The sequence below is a fragment of the Homo sapiens genome, chromosome 10 (assembly GCF_000001405.40).
Source record: "Homo sapiens chromosome 10, GRCh38.p14 Primary Assembly".
NCBI lineage: Eukaryota > Metazoa > Chordata > Mammalia > Primates > Hominidae > Homo > Homo sapiens.
The window spans coordinates 114,689,490-114,711,343 of NC_000010.11; the positions used below are offsets into that span (position 1 = coordinate 114,689,490).

General features: G+C 39.3%; 1 protein-coding gene and 1 pseudogene across 21 annotated transcripts in view; both read right to left on the minus strand.

Annotated features, from left to right (window-relative positions):
• Positions 1–21,854, minus strand: part of ABLIM1 (actin binding LIM protein 1) — a 370,264-nt gene that overhangs the window by 258,380 nt on the left and 90,030 nt on the right. The window lies entirely within an intron of this gene.
• Positions 454–1,194, minus strand: PPIAP19 (peptidylprolyl isomerase A pseudogene 19; annotated as a pseudogene).

The window sequence follows — 21,854 nt, forward strand, 5'->3', positions numbered from 1 at the left end:
TAGCTGGGATTACAGGTGTGCACCACCACTCCCAGCTAATTTTTGTATTTTTATTAGCGACGGGGTTTCGCCATGTTAGCCAGGCTGGTCTTGAACTCCTGGTCTCAAGTGATCCACCTATCGTGGCCTCCCAAAGTGCTGGGATTATAGGTATGAGCCACCGCACCTGGCCGCACTTTTTCTGTTAATTCTTTTTCTTTTCCTTTCCTTGCCTCCTTCCTTTCCTTTTTTTTTTCTCTTTATGATCAGTATCTTTCAAAAAAAGATTCGAGATGAAATTTCTAGCACACAGAAAACTGGACTCTCTACATTCAACAATAAGCTGGACAGGGAAGAGTAGTGAGTACATGGGAATCCATTTCCTGACTTGATGCTTATCCTAATCACTGCTTGATGCTGCCCCTTAGCATCTGCCACCACCACCCCAAAATGGGGCTAACTTTTTATAGTTATTTAGTTTTAATTTCATAATCATAAACTTAACTCAACTCTTCAATTCAGCTAGGCATAGGGAACAAGGAAAACATGGAACCCAAAGGGAACTGCAGCAAGAGCACAAAGATTCTAGGATACTGCAAGCAAATGGGGTGGAGGGTGCTCTCCTGAGCTACAAAAGGAAGGGTCTGGTGGTTAAGATAAAACACAAGTCAAACTTATTCAAGTTGTCCACAGTCAGCAATGGTGATTTTCTTGCTGGTCTTTCCATTCCTGGACCCAAAGCGCCCCGTGGCCTCCACAATATTTATGCCTTCTTTCATCTTGCCAAAGACCACATGCTTGCCATCCAACCACTCACTCTTGGCAGTGCAGATGAAAAACTGGGAACCGTTTGTGTTGGGTCCAGCATTTGCCATGGACAAGATGCCAGGACCTGTATGCTTTAGGATGAAGTTCTCATCATCAAATTTCTCCCCATAGATGGACTTGCCACCAGTGCCATTATGGCGTGTGAAGTCACCACCCTGACACATAAACCCTGGAATAATTCTGTGAAAGCGGGAGCCCTTACAACCAAATCCTTTCTCTCCCATGCCCAGAACACGAAGGTTTTCTGCTGTCTTTGGAAACTTGTCTGCAAACAGCTCAAAGGAGATGCAGCCCAAGGGCTCACCATTGATGGCAATGTTGAAGAACACCGTGGGATTGACTATGGCTGATACTACAGGGCTCCTGGTGGCGGCAGCGTCTGCAAAAGCCTATTTTTTTTTTTGAGATGGAGTCTTGCTTTGTTGCCCAAGCTGGAGTGCAGTGGTGCGATCTCAGCTCCCTGCAACCTCTGCCTCCCAGGTTCAAGTGATTCTCCCACCTCAGCCTCCCAAGGAGCTGAGACTACAGACATGCAACACTACACTCAGCTAATTTTTGTATTTTTAATAGAGACTGGGTTTCGCCATGTTGGCCAGGCTGGTCTCGAACTCCTGACCTCAACTGATCCTCCTGCCTTGGTCTCTCAAAGTACTGCAATTACAGGTGCGAGCCACCTCGCCAGGCCCTGGCTAATATTTTTCAAATAGTTATTCTGACTATAGTAAACATTTCTGACATGCATCTTTCAATTGTTCCTTCTAACAACCTTAGGAGATAAGGACAATTATGAATCCCTCTTTAAAAGATGAGAAAACTAAGCCTAAAGACAGTAATTTTTTTCAGAGTCACATCTTGTATGCAGAAGAGCACAGATTTGAACTCGGATCTCTATGTCTTGATCTCTGTGCTATTATGAGACGTGATCAATGGCTCCACCTCAACATTCTCACAGCTTCTTCTTGTAGCTCTGCTGAAAGAATACACGTGGATGCCAATTAATTAATATCAATGCTGTTATTTGCATGAATTTTTTTCATATAAACGAATAACTAGAAGCGGAATGCACTTAGTGGTATCCATAAAACAGTTTTTACATTTGCATACACAGCTAAGAAGTTGCAGTGATGGACTTTCTATGTCTCTCTCCTCTCCCTTTTATCCATTTCGTTCTGCCTCTCACTCCCTCCCAGTCTGCTATGTTAGAGAGGATTAAAATGCATGCTGTATTCCCTGCAAAAACAACAGGCATTTCTCTTTGGTGACTCATTTGATGCAAATAAGTTGCAGGAATCAGGGGATTCCACTCTTGGTGCCTTTGAAAAAGTTGTAATGATAAAGTCTAAAAGGAAACAAATTACTGCAGAACAAGGAGATTCTATGTTCTTTCATTGTAAACAGATGAAGCATTGGGTTAAATCATAATGACTTACTTTAGTGTGGATTTTTTATAACTTCCACATTCATTACCATTTTCATTTGGCACATGAGTGATACATGACCACAGCAATTGCAAAATATTCCACACATAGCTTCACCCCCAGAGAATGAAAGAGGATATTTATCAACTGTGCTATACCCAGAAGGCTACATTTAATACAGATTTTTGCTGTTGTGAAAGGGTAGGAAAACAGAATAAACACCTAGAAGACACATACCTGCCCAAGAAATGTTACTACATCATTGTCTCTCTCCTGCACTGTTCACTCAGTGTGTATTACTTCTAAGCTGTTCCACCACCTTCTCCATGGAAGCTTCATTCAAAGTCAGTGGGAAGAGAAAATATGCCATATTCTACTAAGAATAAGAATGCTACTCCAGATCATTGACTTCAATTCAGCTCTCCAGTTTAATTTGGGAGACTTCAAATTTATTTAACATTCTGTATTACCCTCTCTAGTTAACAATTCTGCTGACAGTAAGACATTCATACCCAGTCACCAATGAAAGCAAGCATTTTATTGATGGTCTCAAGTGAACTAATTATTCCAAAGACTTTCAAAAAGACTTTCAAAGATTTCAAAGATTTCTGAAACTCTTCATGTCTTGTGTCTGCCTCCTTTCAACTTTTGTCTCTTCCAAGATTATTGCGTCAGCAAAGGAAGATAGGCTAGTCTGCTCAATACACATCACAACATTATAGAGCTTGTCAAAAACAAACAAACAAACAAAACCTTTCTACTCTGTTCCTTGCAATGATCTTCCATATTTCCCCAAAAAACCTTTCCCCCCATCATCTCCAAAACAAGAAACTTCCAGTCACAAAAGTCTAAATTCAAAAGGATAAAGTATTTTTAATAATAGAGTAAAAAAACGGGTCAGGAGTGGTGGCTCATGGCTGTAATCCCAGCACTTTGGGAGGCCAAGGCGGGCAGATCACAAGGTCAAGAGTTTGAGACCAGCCTGGCCAATATGGTGAAACCTCGTCTCTACTAAAAATAAAAAAATTAGCCGGGCGTGGTGGCGGGTACCTGTAGTCCCAGCTATTCAGGAGGCTGAGGCAGGAGAATTGCTTGAACCCGGGAGACAGAGATTGCAGTGAGCTGAGGTGGTGCCACTGCATTCCTGCCTGGGCAACAGAGCAAGACTCCATCTCACACACACACAAAAAAAATGCATTTAAACCTTGCAAAATAAATAAGTCAACACCAAGGACACCTTGCTGAATCATTTTAGGGTTTATAATAACCAGCCACTGGAGTTAGAAACAAAACTGCCTTTAGCAAATACTCCTCCCTAACACTGGCTTTCTGAAACCCCATGTTTTATTCCTTTGAGTGCACAGGCACAGTGTGGAGGCTAAAGGGAGGCTTCCTATTATCTAGGCCAGCTGTTTTCTAGCTAACAGAAGAAGGAGGCTGTGTTGGGATCGGTGAGGGATGCAGCGCGGGGAAGGCAGAGAGTTGGTTCTGGGTCCGACTTCCACCAAAGAAAATTCAGCTCTTATGCTTTATTTTCTGGGCTTCCAGGTGAGCCTTCATCTGAAGAAAGGGTTCCATAGCTAAAAATAAACACACATGTTGAAAAATCCCCAACCTACCCAATCCTTTCATTTTAAAAAGGAGGAAAATGAAGGCCTGTGAGTGTAAGTGACTACAGCAAGTGAGAGAATGAGTAGCCAAGGCAGGAGTGGACCAGCCACAGGCTCTGAGCAACATGCTCTCATGCGTGCACTCTCTCCAGATCGCCAAGTACATTGCCCCTACAGGACGTGTCCCTGTCATCCATCATAGGGTTCAGGTCTATCCCCTGCAGCTCTTCCTCGCACAGCGCACAGCCATATAAGCGCAGGCTTGCAGGTAGGGTGTTGTTGCTGATATAATTTTAAGCGTTTTTTCTTTCTTTCTTTTTATTTCTTTTTTTTTTTCTTTCAGAAACAGGGTCTTGCTCTGTCACTCAGGCTGGAGTGCAGTTGCATGATCATAGCTCACTGTAACCTTGAACTCCCAGGCTCAAGTGATCCTCCCACCTCAGCCTCCCAAACAGCTAGGACACAGGCACATGCTACCATGCCTGGCTGATTTTAAAAAAACTTTTTTTTTTTTTTTTGTAGAGATTGGGTTATTGCTGTGTTGCTCAGGCTGGTCTCGAGCTCCTGGCCTCAAGCCATCCTCCCGCCTTGCCCTCCCAAAGTGCTGGGATTACAGGCATCAGCCACCATGCCCAGTCTATTTTAATCATTTTTAAAGTACTAGACACAGAGGCCACAGGCAGAATAGTAGCAAAAGCCCTGCCTATGTAAGATGAAAAATAAAAATATTCTGAAGTTTTCAGAAGTCAGTACTCCAGAAGTAAATCAATAGAAAATAATATTCGGTTGATAAAAATTGAATTTATACTCAAATTGTGAAAGAAGCAGGTGGAAAGGATGTGAACACACCCTACAGGATCTGTCTGCTGGCTGTGACCTTCATTCTTACAGCCTTCACTCATAAGGTAGCAAACCACAGCTGAGCTGTGTGGGTTCTGGCCCGGGTGCCACTCTGAGAAAACATCACGGACTTCCTAGACTCTGCAGTCACTTGGGGTTGCATTCTGGATGAATGCCACAGTTGCTGGCTCCTGGAAGGGAGGCTCTACATTTTCTAAAATGTGACAAAAACCTAAAGGGGCATAACAAAAACTGGTAAGGGGGGTGCACTATGCCAGCTATCCCTGGGGATTCTCATTTACAAAAGGGCTCCTTTAAATAAACTCTTAAAATAGTCCTGGTTTACCACTCACTAGTTGGGTGATTTAGCAAGTTATTTTATCTATACGTATCTCCATATTCTCACCTGTAAGATGGGGATAATTATGATACCTACCTCATGGGATGTTGTGAAAATTTAAGGAAACAGTTCCTGATTCCTGACAAATATTAGTCATTATTGTTATTATTCTTTAAACAAGAAAAAAAAAGACATTAAGTACTAAATAGAGAGGCCAGGGGCAGGAAAGTAGCAAGAGCTGGGGAATTTGACATGAAAAGTCAAAATGAAATGTTTCTGAAGCTTAATGTAAGTTGATAGACAATAATAATTGGTTGATAAAAAGTGGAACTTACAGATTGGGATCATAGCTAGCTCTACCATCTTCTCTGGGACCTCGCCGCTCAAAACCCGGACATTGAGCCGCAGCAGCGCCCTCACCTGGGAACTTCTTAGAAATGCAGAATGTCAGCACCCAACCCGGACTCTCCAGGTACTGAATCAGAATTCGCATTTCAACAAGATTTCCGGGGAATTTATGTGCATGTTACAGTTAGAGGAAGCCTGCTTGATGGTATGTACTGAGAGTTTAGCATGTAGGTCAAAGGAACAAGACCTCATTCTCTAGTTACATCTCCATACATTATCCTAAATCTTACACTGCTTTCCATTAGCTAAATGGTCAACTAACCATCTGTTAAGCAGATGCCCCTTTAAGGGACAGCATAATACTTAAGTATCTAAAGCAACTAACTCACCTTTTGTTAGTAATTTCAATAATTTTAAAATATCATCATCAAGTGCTAACATTTATAGAGCCCTTAAAACATGCAGGAATCAACATAAGGTGCTCTCCATATGTTCTCATTTAATACTCACACCCCCCACTGGAGTAACCATTACTATCCCCATTTTATAGAGGAGAGAACTGAGGCTCAGAGAGGCTACATCATTTTCTCAAGACCAAATTAAATGGGGGAAAGAAGGCCTTTTTGAAATCCATTCTCTTTCTACAAATTCAAACCCCACTCCCACAACATCAAAATAATGTATCTGTGCACTGGGGAGCAGCAATAATTATCCCCCTTTTCAGATAAGGAAAACTGAGACACAGAGAGCCAATGAATTATACAAAGTCACTGACCTGAAACTTAGGTTAGAACTGGGTCCATTACAATTCAACAACTTTTTCAAATTAAAGAATTCTGCTGCTAGAAATGGCAATGATAATGCAATGGCATTGGAGACAATGCCATGGCATTTTATTTCTGTTGGAAATAAAACACATCCAACAGAAAGAAGGATTTCCATGTATGAAGCTTTGTACAACCAAACCAAGGCACCTCAAATTTTGATCTCTGATCGTAAGAGATTATGAGGATGTCAGTTTCTTTGGGAAAACAGAGTTTCCAGACTCTTATTGCCATCGCCCCATCAATGTGGCAACTGATGCTTATCCACACATCTCAGCTAGCATCCTACATGACATTACTTCTGCATGCCTGTGAAATTCTCCTAACTACAGCCTCCCTGATTTCCTCACTAGGTCTTTACCCAAGTTTGATATCCAAATAGTTTAGAACTTGGCAAGATGAGTCAAAAATCTTTCCTTGATAGCCCCAGTGTCTATGGAAAATCAGAGACACAGGTTTTAGGATCCAGTGATGAGGGCTCCTTGCCCAGGCTCCACCCAGGGAATGCCTCCCTCCTCCATCCCTGGAGAGGGCAGCAGGGAACAAAGCAGGATTTCTTGGCTAAAAATGCTATATTAGTTGCTAAGATGACAACAACAAAATACCACAGGCTATAGAAGTCCAAGACCAAAATGATGGCAGGTTTTGTTTCTTCTAAGCCCTCTCTTCTTGCTTGCAGATGACAGCCCTCTTGCTGTGACCTCACATGGATGAGCTTCATTGCACAGATGTGTCTGGTCTCTCTGTCTCTGTGCCCAGATTTCCTCTTCTTATAAGGACACCATTTGATATGGTTTGGCTGTGTTCCCACCCAAATCTCATCTTGAATTGTAGCTCCCATAATTCTCATGTGTTGTGGGAGGGACACAGTGGGAAATAATTGAATCATGGGGCAGTTTCCCCCATACTGTTCTCATGGTAGTGAATAAGTCTCATGGGATCTGATGGTTTTATAAGGGGTTTCTCCTTTTGCTTGGCTCTCATTCTCTCTTGCCTGCCACCATGTAAGACATGCCTTTCACCTTCTGCCATGATTGTGAGGCCTCCCCAGTCACATGGAACTGTGAGTCCATTAAACCTCTTTTCCTTTATAAATTACCCAGTCTCGGGTATGTCTTTATCAGCAGTGTGAAAATGAACTAATATACCATTCATACTGGATTAGGCTATTTTAACTACATTACCTCTTTATAGAGCCTGTCTCCAAATATAGGCACATCCTGAGATACTGGGAGTTAGGGCTGCAACATAGAAATTTGGAGGAGACATAATTCAACTCATAACAGATGCTGAATGGATCACTAAGTCCTAGGGCTATGCTGAGGCCTTCTGGTCCATTCTGGGTTCAATAAGAACTAGAATTCACAGTAATCTGAATCTCTCGGCCTCATGACTCAGGGCACTCTGGGGGAGGAAGGAAGAGAACAAAATTCCAGGTCAGACACAAAACACGCCCCTTCCCTTCTCATTTCTGCTCCATGGGATCAGAGAAAAACAATTCTCAGCCTCACTGTCCACCAACCCAACCCACCTTCCTTCCCACACTCCGCTCATCACAGCTTAAGTAAGGCCACTCTGGTTTTTTGAGAATTTAAGTGGCACTCATAAAACAGTCTGAGTCAGAGACACAACCAGTTACTCAAAAGTACAAACTAAAGAACTCAGATCTGGCAGCCTGCAAGGCTTCTCCTGCCCTGGGGCAAGTGGTGATCAGCCCTCAGGAGCTGGCACGCGGTTTTCGAAGCAGCTGATCTGCCCAGCAGTAGGGGCTGGGGACCAGAGCCAGCCTCCGGGCCAGCCCACTCAGCCCGGGGCAGTGGCACCGTAAATGCCAGCGAGTAGGAGGGAGGAAAACCTGCACAGCGTGAACCTGTCAGGAGGTGCTCACTTCACACAGGGTGTGTGCCAATGGCTTCTAAAAACAAATTAGGTATTTGGGGTTTATAGGTATCCAAATCATGACACAATAGAAACAGAACAAGAGTGATATTTGCTGTTAAAAAGAAAACCTATGCCCATCAATAAATCCATTAACTTAGATAGCCCTAATTTTCAATTTTAGTAATCCAGCTATTCCTCATATCATCAAGTTTTAAGCTTGGTTCTCAAAACCTTCTCATATTAATATAAAATTATATCATCTTCCTTAGGGTTTTAAAAGATCATTTTGCCATTTCATTTGGTATGTGATAAATAAGTGCTTTAAAGTAATGATTTTAAATCAATATATTATTGAATATACTGAAGATTACATTTTAGAGATCTCTTGTGGTTGCAAACTAATACAACTATAGAGGAAAATTACACCAGCAAAAAGACAGGAGGAAACATTAATCCCCCACATAGAAATCTCTGTATTAATCCCCCTATTAGTTAATTAACATATACCAAAAAAAAGAATCACTAAGACATTTAAGGAAAACAAAAGCACAAAATTGGACCAAGATGAATACACAAACACATGATTCTAGAGAAAATAGATAATTTAAGCAACAGAAGAAAAGAACTAAATAAAAATTCAAATTGATATCCTCTAAGGCATTTGAGAACAAACTGTATCCATGAAGCTAATCTGGGAAAAAATTAAAAGAGCAATCACAGAAAAAGAGAGTTTACAGAAATAAAAAAATAACAATTATGAAAATAAAAAGAAATGCAACAGACAGGCTAGAAAACAAAATGTCAAGAAACCCTCCCATAAAGTAGAGCAAAATAAAGGAGATTAAAAATGTAAAAAAAAAAAAAAAGAATTAAGAGATATGGAAGAGGTCCAATATCTATTGAATAGGAGTTCCAAAAAGAGAGGACAAAGAAAGTAAAGGAGAGAAACTGAAAAAAACAGAATTCTCCAGTCCTGAAGGAAGACACAAGTTTCAGAATGAAAGAACAAACTAAGTGCTGGACAGGATGAAGAAAAATGACAAAATAGCTAGACATACACTGGTGTAATTTTAGAACTCTGAACATACAGAGAACACCCTAAAAGCTATCAGATACCAGTTCAGGTTACCAAGAAGGGAAAAGGACTCAGACTACCATGAGGCTTGGCAGTCACTGTGAAGTCAGAAGAAAACAATTCAGCATGTGGAGAAAATAAGAAATTTTCAGACAGGGAAGGATTCCACTTACCTCTTATGCACCCTTACTGAAAAAAATTACTTGAAGACTGACTCACACAGGAGAAAAAACTAATTCCCAAAAAGAAAACTGCAGATTCCAAGAAAATGTGGAATTCATTTAGAAATAAAATGGGATTAGGGGGAATCCCACAGTGACAGCTATATAACAGATCTAGAAGCCAGTGAGTCCAAATTAGAAGATAGAGTCTCCAAGAAAACATCTTCAAGAAAGTAGATTTCATTCAACAAGTTATGATTCAGAGCCTGGACGATCTTAGTAATGCTATTAATAAATTCATTTTGCTTAGCAAAAAAAAAAAAAAAAGAATTGGAATTAAAAGCTTTATGTAAATTAAAAATCTGTATAAAAAACCATAATCTAAATATGAAGCAAACTAAAGAGTCATAAAATTTTGAGAAAAAAAAAGGAGGTTGTTGGAAAAGGGCCCTTGGATGATGCTTTAATAATGCTTAAACATGTACTTTGAGCAAGACAGATTTAATGCTCAGAATAATTCCTTCTCTAAGGGTCCAGTCACAGTGTCTGCTTCTGCAGTGAAGAATATTTGCATAATTTTAATGTTACAGATAATTTATATTGGTTTTCAGCTCTAAAAATCAACTTATAATAAAAAAGAAAGCATAAAAGTTAGATTTAAAATATATAAACCTTGACAATGTAAAAGTAAGGTGTCTTCTGACAGCAGTCAGAAGACAGAAAGTGTGGGTAGGAGAAGAGAAGTGAGGTGGAAGGGTGATAATGTCCTCATTCTACCTAATAGGGGTAAGAAGGTATTATGTAGAGTCAGATAAAAAATAGCAGTATATTATTTAGAGTTATAAAATGGCTCTATATCAATGGTAGATTTAAAACTAATAAAACTCTGGAAGTGAACATTAAAACCAATTGAGAGACATTGTTGAAATAAATATAAATCCAAACATATTATTTAGAATTATAGTATTACCATCCAGAAGTAAAAAGTAAACTTTTATAAACAGTTATGTCTGCTATAAAAGGGCAGCCCAAAGGATCCTTGTGGTGATGAAACTGTTGTATATCTTGACTGAATTGGTGTCAATATACTGGTTGTGATATTATACCACAGTATTGCAAGATGTTGCCCCAATCCATGAGAGAATTAAGCAAAAAGTTATTTTAATGATTCTATTCTTTGTTTTTTTTCAGATGGGGTCTCACTATGTTGTCCAAGCTGGTCTTTGAACTCCTGGACTCAAGCAATCCTCCCACCTCAGCCTCCCAAGTTGCTGGGATTATAGGCACAAGTCACCACATCCAACCTGTGACTCTACTCTTGATTCTACCAAAGAAGTCTAACAAGCTAATACATTTCCAGATGCATAAGCAATAAGTTAATTCATTACATATGAAGGATGCATTCGAGCATTATGGATTACTTCTCTTGTAAAACCTCACTGAGAGAGAATGATCTACATAGAACACTACAAATAATCACTGAGGTAAATTAAAGAAAACCTAAATTAGTAAAGATATATATCATGTCTATGGATTATAAGGTTCAATATATAAGATCCTTATTTCTCTGAAATTAATTCATGAATTCAATGTAACCCTAATAATATTCTCAGCAGGTGTTTTAGATAAAAGTTGACAAACTGGTTTTAAAATAGACATGAAAATGTAAAGGGCCTAGGATTGCCAAAAACAATTAAAACACACACACACACACACACACACACATACACTCAAAGATGGAGAACTTACTCTACATGGCATAATTAAGATGATGTAGTATTGCCATAATGAAAGACAAATTAATCATTGAAACAGAATAGGAATTCCAGAAACAGATCTACACTTATAAATGATTGACTGGTTCTTTGCAAAGGCCCCAGTGCAATTCAATGAGGAAGGGAATCTTTTCAACAAATGAGGCTGGAACAATTATATATCCCTGTGAAAAAAAAAAATTAACCTCAACCCCTACCTCACACCATATACAAAAATTATTTTGAGAGGAATCATAGATGTAAACTTAAAATCTAAATCTCTAATAGTGTCATAAAAATATAGAATACCTTTGATATCCTGGGATTAGGCAAAAACTCCTTGGATAGGATAATAAAATCACAAAAATGTATAAAAATTGATACATTAAACTTCACCAAAATTAAACACTCCATTCATCAAAAGACACTATTAAGAAAATAAACAGGCAAACCTCAGGCTGGGAGAAAAGTATGTGCAAAACATAAAGCAGACATATAACCTGTATTTAGAATACATTTTAAAAAAAACTCCTACAACTCAATAAGAAAAATAATGCAGGTTAAAAACAGAGGGGTAGAGAGACTTGAATAGATACTTCACAAGGTTAGATATGCAAATGACCATTATCCACATTAAAAAGTTCTCAAATAATTAGCCATGAGGTAAATGCAAAGTAAAAATCACAACAAGATACCACTATGCCAAATTAAAATACCAAATATTGGTGAGGATGTGAGACAATTGTAACTCTAATACATTTCTAGTGAGAATATAAAATGGTTACAACAGTTTTTGAAAAATGTTTGACAATTTTTCTTATTATAAATATACACCTACCCTCCGACCTAGCAATTCCACATCTAGATCTTTTACCAAGAGAAATGAAAACATAAATCCACAAAAAAGACTTTTCCAAGAATGTTCACAGCAGCTTTATTCATATTAGTAAATAGCTATAAACAACAAGAATGTCCATCAATAGAATGGATAATCAAATTGTGATATACCTATATAATGGAATATTACTCAGCAATAAAAAGGAATGAACTACTCCCATACACAACAAAATGGAGGCATCACACAGACCTTACACTGAGTGGAAAAAGCCTTACACAAAACAGTGCGTAGTATATGAGTCAATTTATGTGAAGTTCTAGAAAAGGCTAATCTAATTAGGACCTTGATTGTCTGGGAGTGAGAGGATTCACTGACAAAGAACACAAGAGAATTTCTGGAGATATGAAAATATTCAATATTGTGATAGAGGTCTATGGGTGACATAGGTGTATCTATCTGTAAAACTTCTATAGCCAAGATTCTTACATTTCAATGTATGTCAATTATGCCTTAAAAACAACTGTTAAAAATAAGAGAGGATGTAGAAATTTAGAAAAAATAAGAATGGCAGAGTGTTGAAGCTGGGCGATGGGTACTTGAGGTTCATTATACTATTTTTTTATTGTTTATCATAGAAATATTCAAACATATGCAAAGTAAAAAATGTACACTGAATTTTAACTATGCATTACAGCAACATGACAAGATGTTTAGAATTCTAATAGTTTGGGCTTAAAAAATTCAGCTGGTTGATTTTCATTACTTTAAGTCTTTATGAATAGTAAGCTAAAACATAAGATTTCAGTTGTCTATTTGCAAATATTTTCTCTGTAAATACCACATTGCAAGTGAAAGCCTATATTGCTAATAACGAAAAAGACAATCATTAATACATGATCTTTAAAAAATGTTGGCTTTTGAAATACTACAGATATTCTAATGAGTTACAGAATTTTAATGAGATGAATGAAACATACAAATCTGGAGAAGATCAACTTGAGAATAAGAATTTGCAGAATTAAAATAATTTCAACGATAAAAGTGATTCATTTGTATTTTAACATCAGTGTTTTTTTGTTTCTTGTCATTAATCACTGGTCTATCATGATTATACACTGAACAATATATAAGTAAGAACACTTTTTTTTTTTTTTTTTTTGAGATGGAGTCTCGCTCTGTCTCCCAGGCTGGAGTGCAGTGGCGCGATCTCGGCTCACTGCAAGCTCCGCCTCCCGGGTTCACGCCATTCTCTTGCCTCAGCCTCCCGAGTAGCTGGGACTACAGGCGCCCGCCACCACGCCCGGCTAATTTTTTGTATTTTAGTAGAGACGGGGTTTCACCGTAGTCTCGATCTCCTGACCTCGTGATCTGCCCTCCTCAGCCTCCCAAAGTGCTGGGATTACAAGCGTGAGCCAATATTTTTTAATGACATAACACATCATAGCTAGAATTATTCATATAAATAATAAATCAACTCCACCAATCATAATATACTTTCCCTCGCTAGACATTTAGAAGCTCTCAAATGTTCTTAAAAAGAAAAATATTTAAATAATTATTTTATTTGTTGATGTTTTCAAATAGAAAGTATATTAGAAACCACTGTCCCTTTTAAATACATAAACTTTGGGAGTACCTAGATGAATTAACTCAGACATTTGGAAACCTCTTAATAGGAAAATTCTACACTACATATAATTTTTGCTGAATGAAACTTAATAGTTTTGATACATGGAATCGCCTTTGTAAAATACTCTGAGTTTTACAGCCTTAGACATAAATAAACAAAATGAAACTGTCTATGTTCCTTCAGTTTGGAATGCCCTTCATACTCTTACAGACATCCTCTCCATCCATTGATCAAAAGAATTTTAGTTACCTTCAACACTCATCTCAAAGGTTACTTTTTCCTTGAATCCCTTCTAATTACTAGTCTGAATGCATCACCCTACTCTGCTGCCACAGCAGCTTATCTAACCTTGACTATGGCATGTTCGTCTTACGGGAGTATTTGTCTGTGTGTGTGCCTTCCAGCAGGTCCCTGTTTTTAGTTTAGTAGAGGTGAAGCAAATGGTAGGCATAATTGTACCCATTTTACAGATGAGAAACCAGAGACTGAAAAAGGTGAAATAACTTCCTCTAAGATCACTTCACCTACAGTGGCAGCACCAGGATCCCAGTACAAGGTGCCCACCTCTCCAGCCCATTCTCTTAAAGACTACAAGTGGCACTGCCTTCAGGAACACCTCAGGAGGTCAGCATTCAGTCATCTTCAACGCCTCCAATGCACCTGGTCTGTGCTCCACACATTACATGCTCTATAAATGCTTTTTGGCCTTTGTTTACATTATGTACTGTGAGAATAAGATATTCAATTAAAATAGTTTATCAGTTCATTCATCTGAACAGAGCCCAGAAGGGTCGCAGATAGAGGCTGGGGGCACAGAACACTACCACCCTCTACTGGAGAATCAGTTTCTTACAGGAAACATTCACGTTTCTCACTACACGTGAGCTTCACTCCTTTTCAGCATCAATGTAAAGGAGTGAATGTACTCACTAAATCTTTATCCCTGGAAAAATGTGTGGATTCTCTTTGTGGAAATAATATGCAAAGTGTAAACTGACATGCCCAGGAGTGCCAGAAATAAAGATACTGGACTTACACTCTCATGAAACAGGAATCACTTTTTATTTTCTTTATTTTCTTTTCATTGGTGTGGTTAGATCAACATGGAGTGACTTTTGAATAATACAGAGAACCTATGTCTAAATTCAGCTGGCCACCTGCCAACATAATTTATTTGGCATTTGTGTGATTAGGCTTTTCTAGTTAGTGACTCGAACAATCTCTCTCTCTCTCTCTGACACTCTATCTCTCTCTCGCTCTCTCTCTCTCTCTCTCTCTCTCTCTCTCTATATATATATATATATATATATATATATATATTGCGCGCGTTACATCTGTGAGGTATCTTGGAATAACAAGAGCCTAAATTGTTACCACATAAACTATTAAAATGTAACTGCACAGTGGTCTCAGTAGAACATTTTCATAAATGGGGATTATCTATAAATCTGCTTTGGCCGGCTACTAAGCCAGAATTTAGTAAGAGTATTACATATTGGCAGAGATTTCCCAATGCCCAGTTTCAAGCTTTCCTTAAATTGGTTATAGCTCATTTATGCTTCATATCACTTTCTATAAAGTGATTCGCAGCCAAAGCCTGCCTTTGGTCATTCTAAGGGGGGTGGGGGTGGGGAGAAAGAGAAAACGGGCAGAGAAAATGTCTCTCCCTTCCTGGGAGGCTGTGGGGTCCAAGGCCTTTTCTCTGGCATGCATGGGAGTGTGTAAGTCCTCTCTGTTATAGGGTATTGCTACAAAGAGAATCCACAGATTGTTTCCAAGGATAAAGATTTAGTGGATCATTGACTCTAATAAGGCGTCAAGCCCAACTTCAGCGCATTCTGATTCTCAAAGACAAACTCATGAATAGTTCATCAGCTTAAGGAGAAAGACTACTTTAGAATTCCCTTCATGTATACCAGTCTTAAGACGTTTTCAAAGGATTCGGTAGTCATGCCCCAAATTTCCAAACCCATGGCTGTGCCTTGACATGGTGAGGTTTAAGAAAGGGAAGTTCAAGTTCTTTTTTTTTTCATTAGCATCAGGTCTGGTTCTTAGACTAAGCAAGTGTGGAGTCAGCTCCAAGAGGGGCCTGAGAAGTATCTGTTCAAGCTCCAACCCCAGGTAAAAGTGTACTTAAACTATCTTAGATATTAGGATATTTAAGACTTCTAGGGAAGAGCATAGGTCATTTTTAAATGCTAAAACACAAGAAGTACGAAGAATTCTGACTTGACTAGAACCAACCAGTGTGAGGCATATTTTAAAGCAGTTACTAAAATAAAGTTTATTGATAAAGACTTGAGGTTAGGATACAAAACCCATAATAGTTGCTGGGCATCATTCCATATCCTAAAGTGAAACATGGGCACCCACAGGGATCTTGCCATGGCTCATGAGGGGATAGGTCACCAGTGGGCAGGATGCAAATGAAGAGGGCAAGGCGAAGACCTCAAACAGTGGAATCTGGAGGGGATGTTCTGAAAGCCACAGTTTGCAGAGGCTTGACATAACGAGTAAGGATGAAGGAAACGGGAAATGGAGATGGTTTGGGGATGGGCAAACACAGGAGACTGACAGAAAATACAAGAAGTCATTCATTCAACAAAAATCTACTCAGACCCTTGGTGAGAAAGGCTGGGCACCATGATAGGCACAAAAACTAAAGCAGTCTCTCTAAAATTCAGTGCAATGCCAAAGCAGAAAAGGTTAAGAAACTGTATCCCTACCTTCCAAAGGAAGTTATGTAAGATATTTTCATCAACAAAGACAACTTCAATAGAGAAAATCATAACAAAAAATTTGAAATTTGATGATATATCTTGTTTTATGTGGAGAAGACTACAGTGCAAGGACAGAGTAGCGAAGTGGGAGTATGGATCAAATTACTTGTTAATACATTTCACCAGGTGAATTCCCAAGACAAATAGGCAACAGATCAGGTTTATCCTGAAACCTCTAATACAAGGCAGTCATCATTCTTACCCTAAAGAACTGGATCCTTTGAAAAATCACCAAGTCAAACTCAGATCTTTAAACCTCAATCTCAAGTGCAAGAAAGACTACAATCCTTCTTGATGACAATCTCAGAATCTGACAACCATGCAAGAAGAATCTGTTGAGTATCTGCTGTGTAAAAAACAGTAAGATATAATTAGAGAAGGAGAAGGGAAAACTACATACAAATCAGTATAGCAAAGGCCAAGTGTTGGGAAAACTTTGGGAGTTCAACTGATTTAGGCACAAGTCCTCTTCCTAGGACAGACTTTGTAGCATTGTTTCACGACGTTCATTTTATCACCCAAGTTATATAAACGATATTGAATTAACAGGAGTAGTACCAGCTCATCATCAGCTGATTGTCAAAGTTTTGTGGAATACGCTTATCAATAAATAAATCCTAAACTATGAGTTATTCTCACAAATGTCTGCTGGCAATGATGATACCAAAATTGACCCTGAGAAACAAATTAATGCACAGTCCACATGCTGGAAGCACAAACAATAAACAACTATAAATCCCAGCACCAAATTTTTCCCTGGAGGCGGATGCCAGGTATGATTTAAGAGTCTGAAGGAGGAGAGAGAACCACATATTTCTCTCTCTCCACACCAATGTAATGAAGCCTGAGGCTAAAGACGTCCACAGCAACTGCTGAATTATAATCTGTGGAAGCAGGGTTACAAGAGATAACCTTTCAGGGCAATATTTTCCTAAAAGCTGAGAACTTGTTTTGTTGTTTTTGTTACATCCCCCAAGGGGTTTCATAATCCTAATACTCATTTCTTATAATGAGAACGGCCTGCTACTGTGATTCATTATGTTTCAGTTTTCTTCTACTTTAAAAAAAAAAAAATTCAGCCCTGCCCAGTCCTAAAGAACATGAAAACAACCTCTCCCGAAACTTACAGGGAGCCTGGAAGGCATCATTAATACACTTTCAGGCATACAGAATGGTGTATTGTAGACCAGCACTGTCAATGGAAATAGAATGTGATATACAAATAATGTAATTTAAATTTGTCTAGTAACTACATTAGAAAGGTAAAAAGAAACAGGTAAAATTAATTTTAAGATTTTTAAGATTTTTATTTAACCTAATATATCAAAAATACTGTCATTTCAAACGTGGTCAATGACCACATGTGATGAGTGACTACCATACATACAGTGCAATTAGAGACCATCATATCCCAAAGTTCTCCAGTAAGGGTTCAGTTTTTTGCTGTTGTTGCTGTTGATGGAGTCTCGCACTGTCACCCAAGATGGAGTGCAGTGGTGCAGTCTCAGCTCACTGCAATCTCTGCCTCCCAGGTTCAAGCGATTCTCCAGCCTCAGCCTTCCGAGTAGCTGGAACTACAGGCGCACACCACCACACTCAGCTAATTTTAAAATTTTTAGTAGAGACGAAGTTCACCATGTTGGCCAGGCTGGTCTTGAATTCCTGACCTCAAGTGATATGCCTGCCTTGGCCTCCCAAAGTGCTGGGATTACAGGCGTAAGCCACCACACCTGGCCCAGTTTTGTTTTAATGACAAATTTGCTAAACCATCAATCCTGCTGCCCCTGGCTTCCTGAGTACTAGTCATAAAAAACTAATTACCGGCCGGGCACGGTGGCTCACACTTATAATCCCAACACTTTGGGAGGCCGTGGTGGGCGGATCACTTAAGGCCAGGAGTTCGAGACCAACCTGGACAACATGGTGAAAACACGGTCTCTACTAAAAATACAAAAATTAGCCAGGCGTGGTGGCGGGTGCCTGTCATCCCAGCTACTCGGCAGGCTGAGGCAGGAGAATCACTTGAACATGGGAGACAGAGGTTGCAGTGAGCGGAGATTGCACCATTGCACTCTAGCCTGGGCGACAAGAGCAAAACTCCGTCTCAAAACAAACAAACAAACAAACAACAACAACAACAAAAAACCTAATTACCAACAGTTTTCAATTTTGTACTAAGCCTTTATGCTAACCGCTGTTTTTCAAAGCCTGTCCTGGTGGCAGGTCTTTTATTTGTTTACATGTGGTGCTGCAGACAAAACAGGTGCAACTCAACGGTCTTGATGATGGAAAACCTTGTTAAAACCAACCTTAGTCACTAAGGAGAAGAGCGTTTAAAAAAGGAGCCCCCATGAGAATGATGGCAAGCGTGAAATGCATGCCGAGCTACCTCCAGACAAAGTGATCCAGCTTCTGGTACATTCTGAAACAAAACGACCTCAACAGGCACCATTCCAAGGCTGTAATTATGATGGCAACATAGCTACACCCTCTGAAGGCCATTATGAATCTCTTGGTCTAAGAAAAACAGCCGCTGTTTCCCTGAAAGAGCTTCCTCCAGTCCTCTCCAGGCTCCTTCTGCCACAGAAAAAGGAGTGTCCCAGTTCCCTCCTCCCTGCTTGGCAAGGAGCATGGAGGAAGGGACAGGGACCCTCCTTCCCTGGGACCCCAAAACTACATGGGGATGGTAACTGGAGGTAGACATGACACCCATTAAAGTAAGTTGTGTATTTCTGGCAAAAGAAAGGAGCAAGAGGGGGTACAGGGGAAAACATGGGGAGAATAAGAAGACAACAAAAGGAAAGCAAATGAACTGAGTACTTTTTAAAGGAGCTGCTATTCTCCATCTATATTTGGGGGATAAAAGCAAAGTTAAGAAAGAGGAAAGAAGAGCAGAGAAAATAACCAACTGACTAATAAAATCTACATATCCTAAAAGTCAATTCTAGGTGATAAAATCTGGGGTCAGTTTTTTAATGCTTGATAAACTTTGCACCAAGCTGATCATACTTAATGTTCAGGGACCACCTTCAAAGTCCTCATCTTTATCCACATGGCCACAGGTTTGTAAAATCTGTACCAAAAAGTGATATTTTAATCACCATCTTTTAAGATTACCATGTCTTTCCATTTTGACCTCCCCTCTTCCAGGTCAGCATTGGAATGGCACTGGTATTGGTACTTTTCGAGAAGCATTTTTTAAGAACTTGGCTAAGGGGAAGTTGATTAGGGCTATATTTAGTTTTAGGTTTCATGGACCACATGTATGGCTGTATGGTCACTTCCCTGCATAGTTAAGTTACTGCTAGCTATTACTGCAAATTGTGGAAATGATTTCTAGAAACTTTTACTGTTTACTATGGTGACTCATCTAGAGTCATGATATGGAAATGCAAGACCAGAAGCCATGCCGTGATAGGAATGTGTTCCTTAGCACCCAACACTGGAGTTAGATGGGAATGCGTTCCTTAGCACCCAACACTGGAGTTTGTTACGTAGTGGAAGAGAAACAAGGTTTGAATCGTATAAAGCAGAAAGCTGGTTTATAGAAAAATCTTCCAGCCATCAGACCTGTAATATTAGGAGCAGAGAATCTTGTTTTCATCAACATAGAGTCAAAACAGAAGTTCTCTCCTGTCATAAATATGCTTAAAACAGTTATAATTATAAATGCACCATATACATTTTTAATGGCCACTATGTGAAATGGAGATGATCAAAATTCCTATATTTATTGATCTAAAACTGTAGCAGTGAGTACATTTGTGTATGAGATTGTTTTATGTAAACCAGCTACCAAAAATAAAAGATAAATTTCAATAAACTACGCTAGAGGAAAGGCGAAAGGTTCTTTTCTCTACATAGAAAAAACTACAAAGTTATTGTCATATGAAAAGGCAATCAAGGAATATGCTGTCAAAAATGTAGCAGGGAAAATATTATACAGGTACGTCAGAACATGTTTATTAATCAGCTGCTTGTTAGTTTTCTGTATTTTATGATATTTAGGAATTACCACTTTTGAAATGTTGTCATTTGTTGTGACTTTTTTCCCTTCCTAAATATTCACTTTGATGTTTAACTTTGTGTTCATAATTTTTTATGCTTTTTCTAAACAGGGTTCTCAAACTTACATAAGCCTCAGGGTCCATAAAACCTTGACTTTCCCCTAATCTGTGATAATAACTACATATACCACCACTCCCACCATGTGCACACATGTGTACACACACATATTTACTTGGGCAAGAGTTGTCATGCAACTAAAATCTCCTATTCTTTGAAGTAAATGGTTACTCAGGTCCAAGATTTCCACTGGACTTGCTATCCACTTCTTTTACAGCTCAACTGCCCAACAGATCCAGAGTTAGAGTGACTCAGTAGGGCTTTGGCAACTATCAGAATTGTATTACAGTGCAATCTTTACCAGCCTCGGCAACATGGTGAAATCCCATTGTATTAATCTGTTCTCACACTGCTAATAAAGACATACCCAAAATTGGGTAATTTTAAAGGAAAGAGGTTTAATTGACTCACAGTTCGATAGGGCTAGGGAAGCCTCACAATCATGGCAGAAAAGCAAGGGATATCTTACATGGTGGCAGGCAAGACAGAATGAGAGACAAGCAAAAGGGGAAACCCCTTATAAAACCATCAGATCTCATGAGACTTATTCACTACCACGAGAACAGTATGGGAGAAACCATCCCCATATTAAATTATCTCCCACCAGGTTCCTCCCACAACATGTGCAAATTATGGGAGCTACAATTCAAGATGAGATTTGGGTGGGAACGCAGCCAAACCATATCACCCATCTCTACTAAAAACATAAAAATTAAACAGGCTTAGTGGCTTGCACTTGTAGTCCCAGCTACTTGGGAGCTGGGGTGGGAGGATTGCTTGAGCACAGGAGGTCAAGGCTGCAATGAGCCATGATGGTGCCACTGCACTCCAGCCTGGGCGACAGAGCCCACTGTGTCTCAAAAAATAAATAAAAATAAAATAAAGCAATCTTCACAGAACACATATTTTGGCTTTCCAGAAAGAAACACAAGGGACCATATTTGCACACTAAGTATTTGTGTTCCATTCGATCAGTAGAAAAGGCAAGGCTTTGGAGCATTTGCTTATCCCTCACGCATTCCAAAATCCCAAAGACATCTGATGGGTTCCACTCAAAGATGACCTATAAGCTCATGCCGGTTTATATGTGGGCCTAAGAAGGCCACTCCATGACTAGGACAATGTTCAGGATATTCCTACTCTTTTGAAGAATCTGTTGTCCCTGTATGTCTTCTGTTTCTGTCTGAAGATCTATGTTTTCCCCTATCAATCACAAGAACAAAAGTAGCAAAAGTCATCTTATTTCTGGTTGTTACACGTAAGGAACGGAATGGCTTCTGCTTTCCAGGCTCCCATTAGAAATTGTGTTTCACTAGGGGTTTGCATCATTTTCTTTTGCCATTTGTCTGCAGTCATCCCACTTCAACTTACCAAGAGCCCTCCTGTTGCTATACAATGGCTTTTATAGGGTACTGGGTATGTC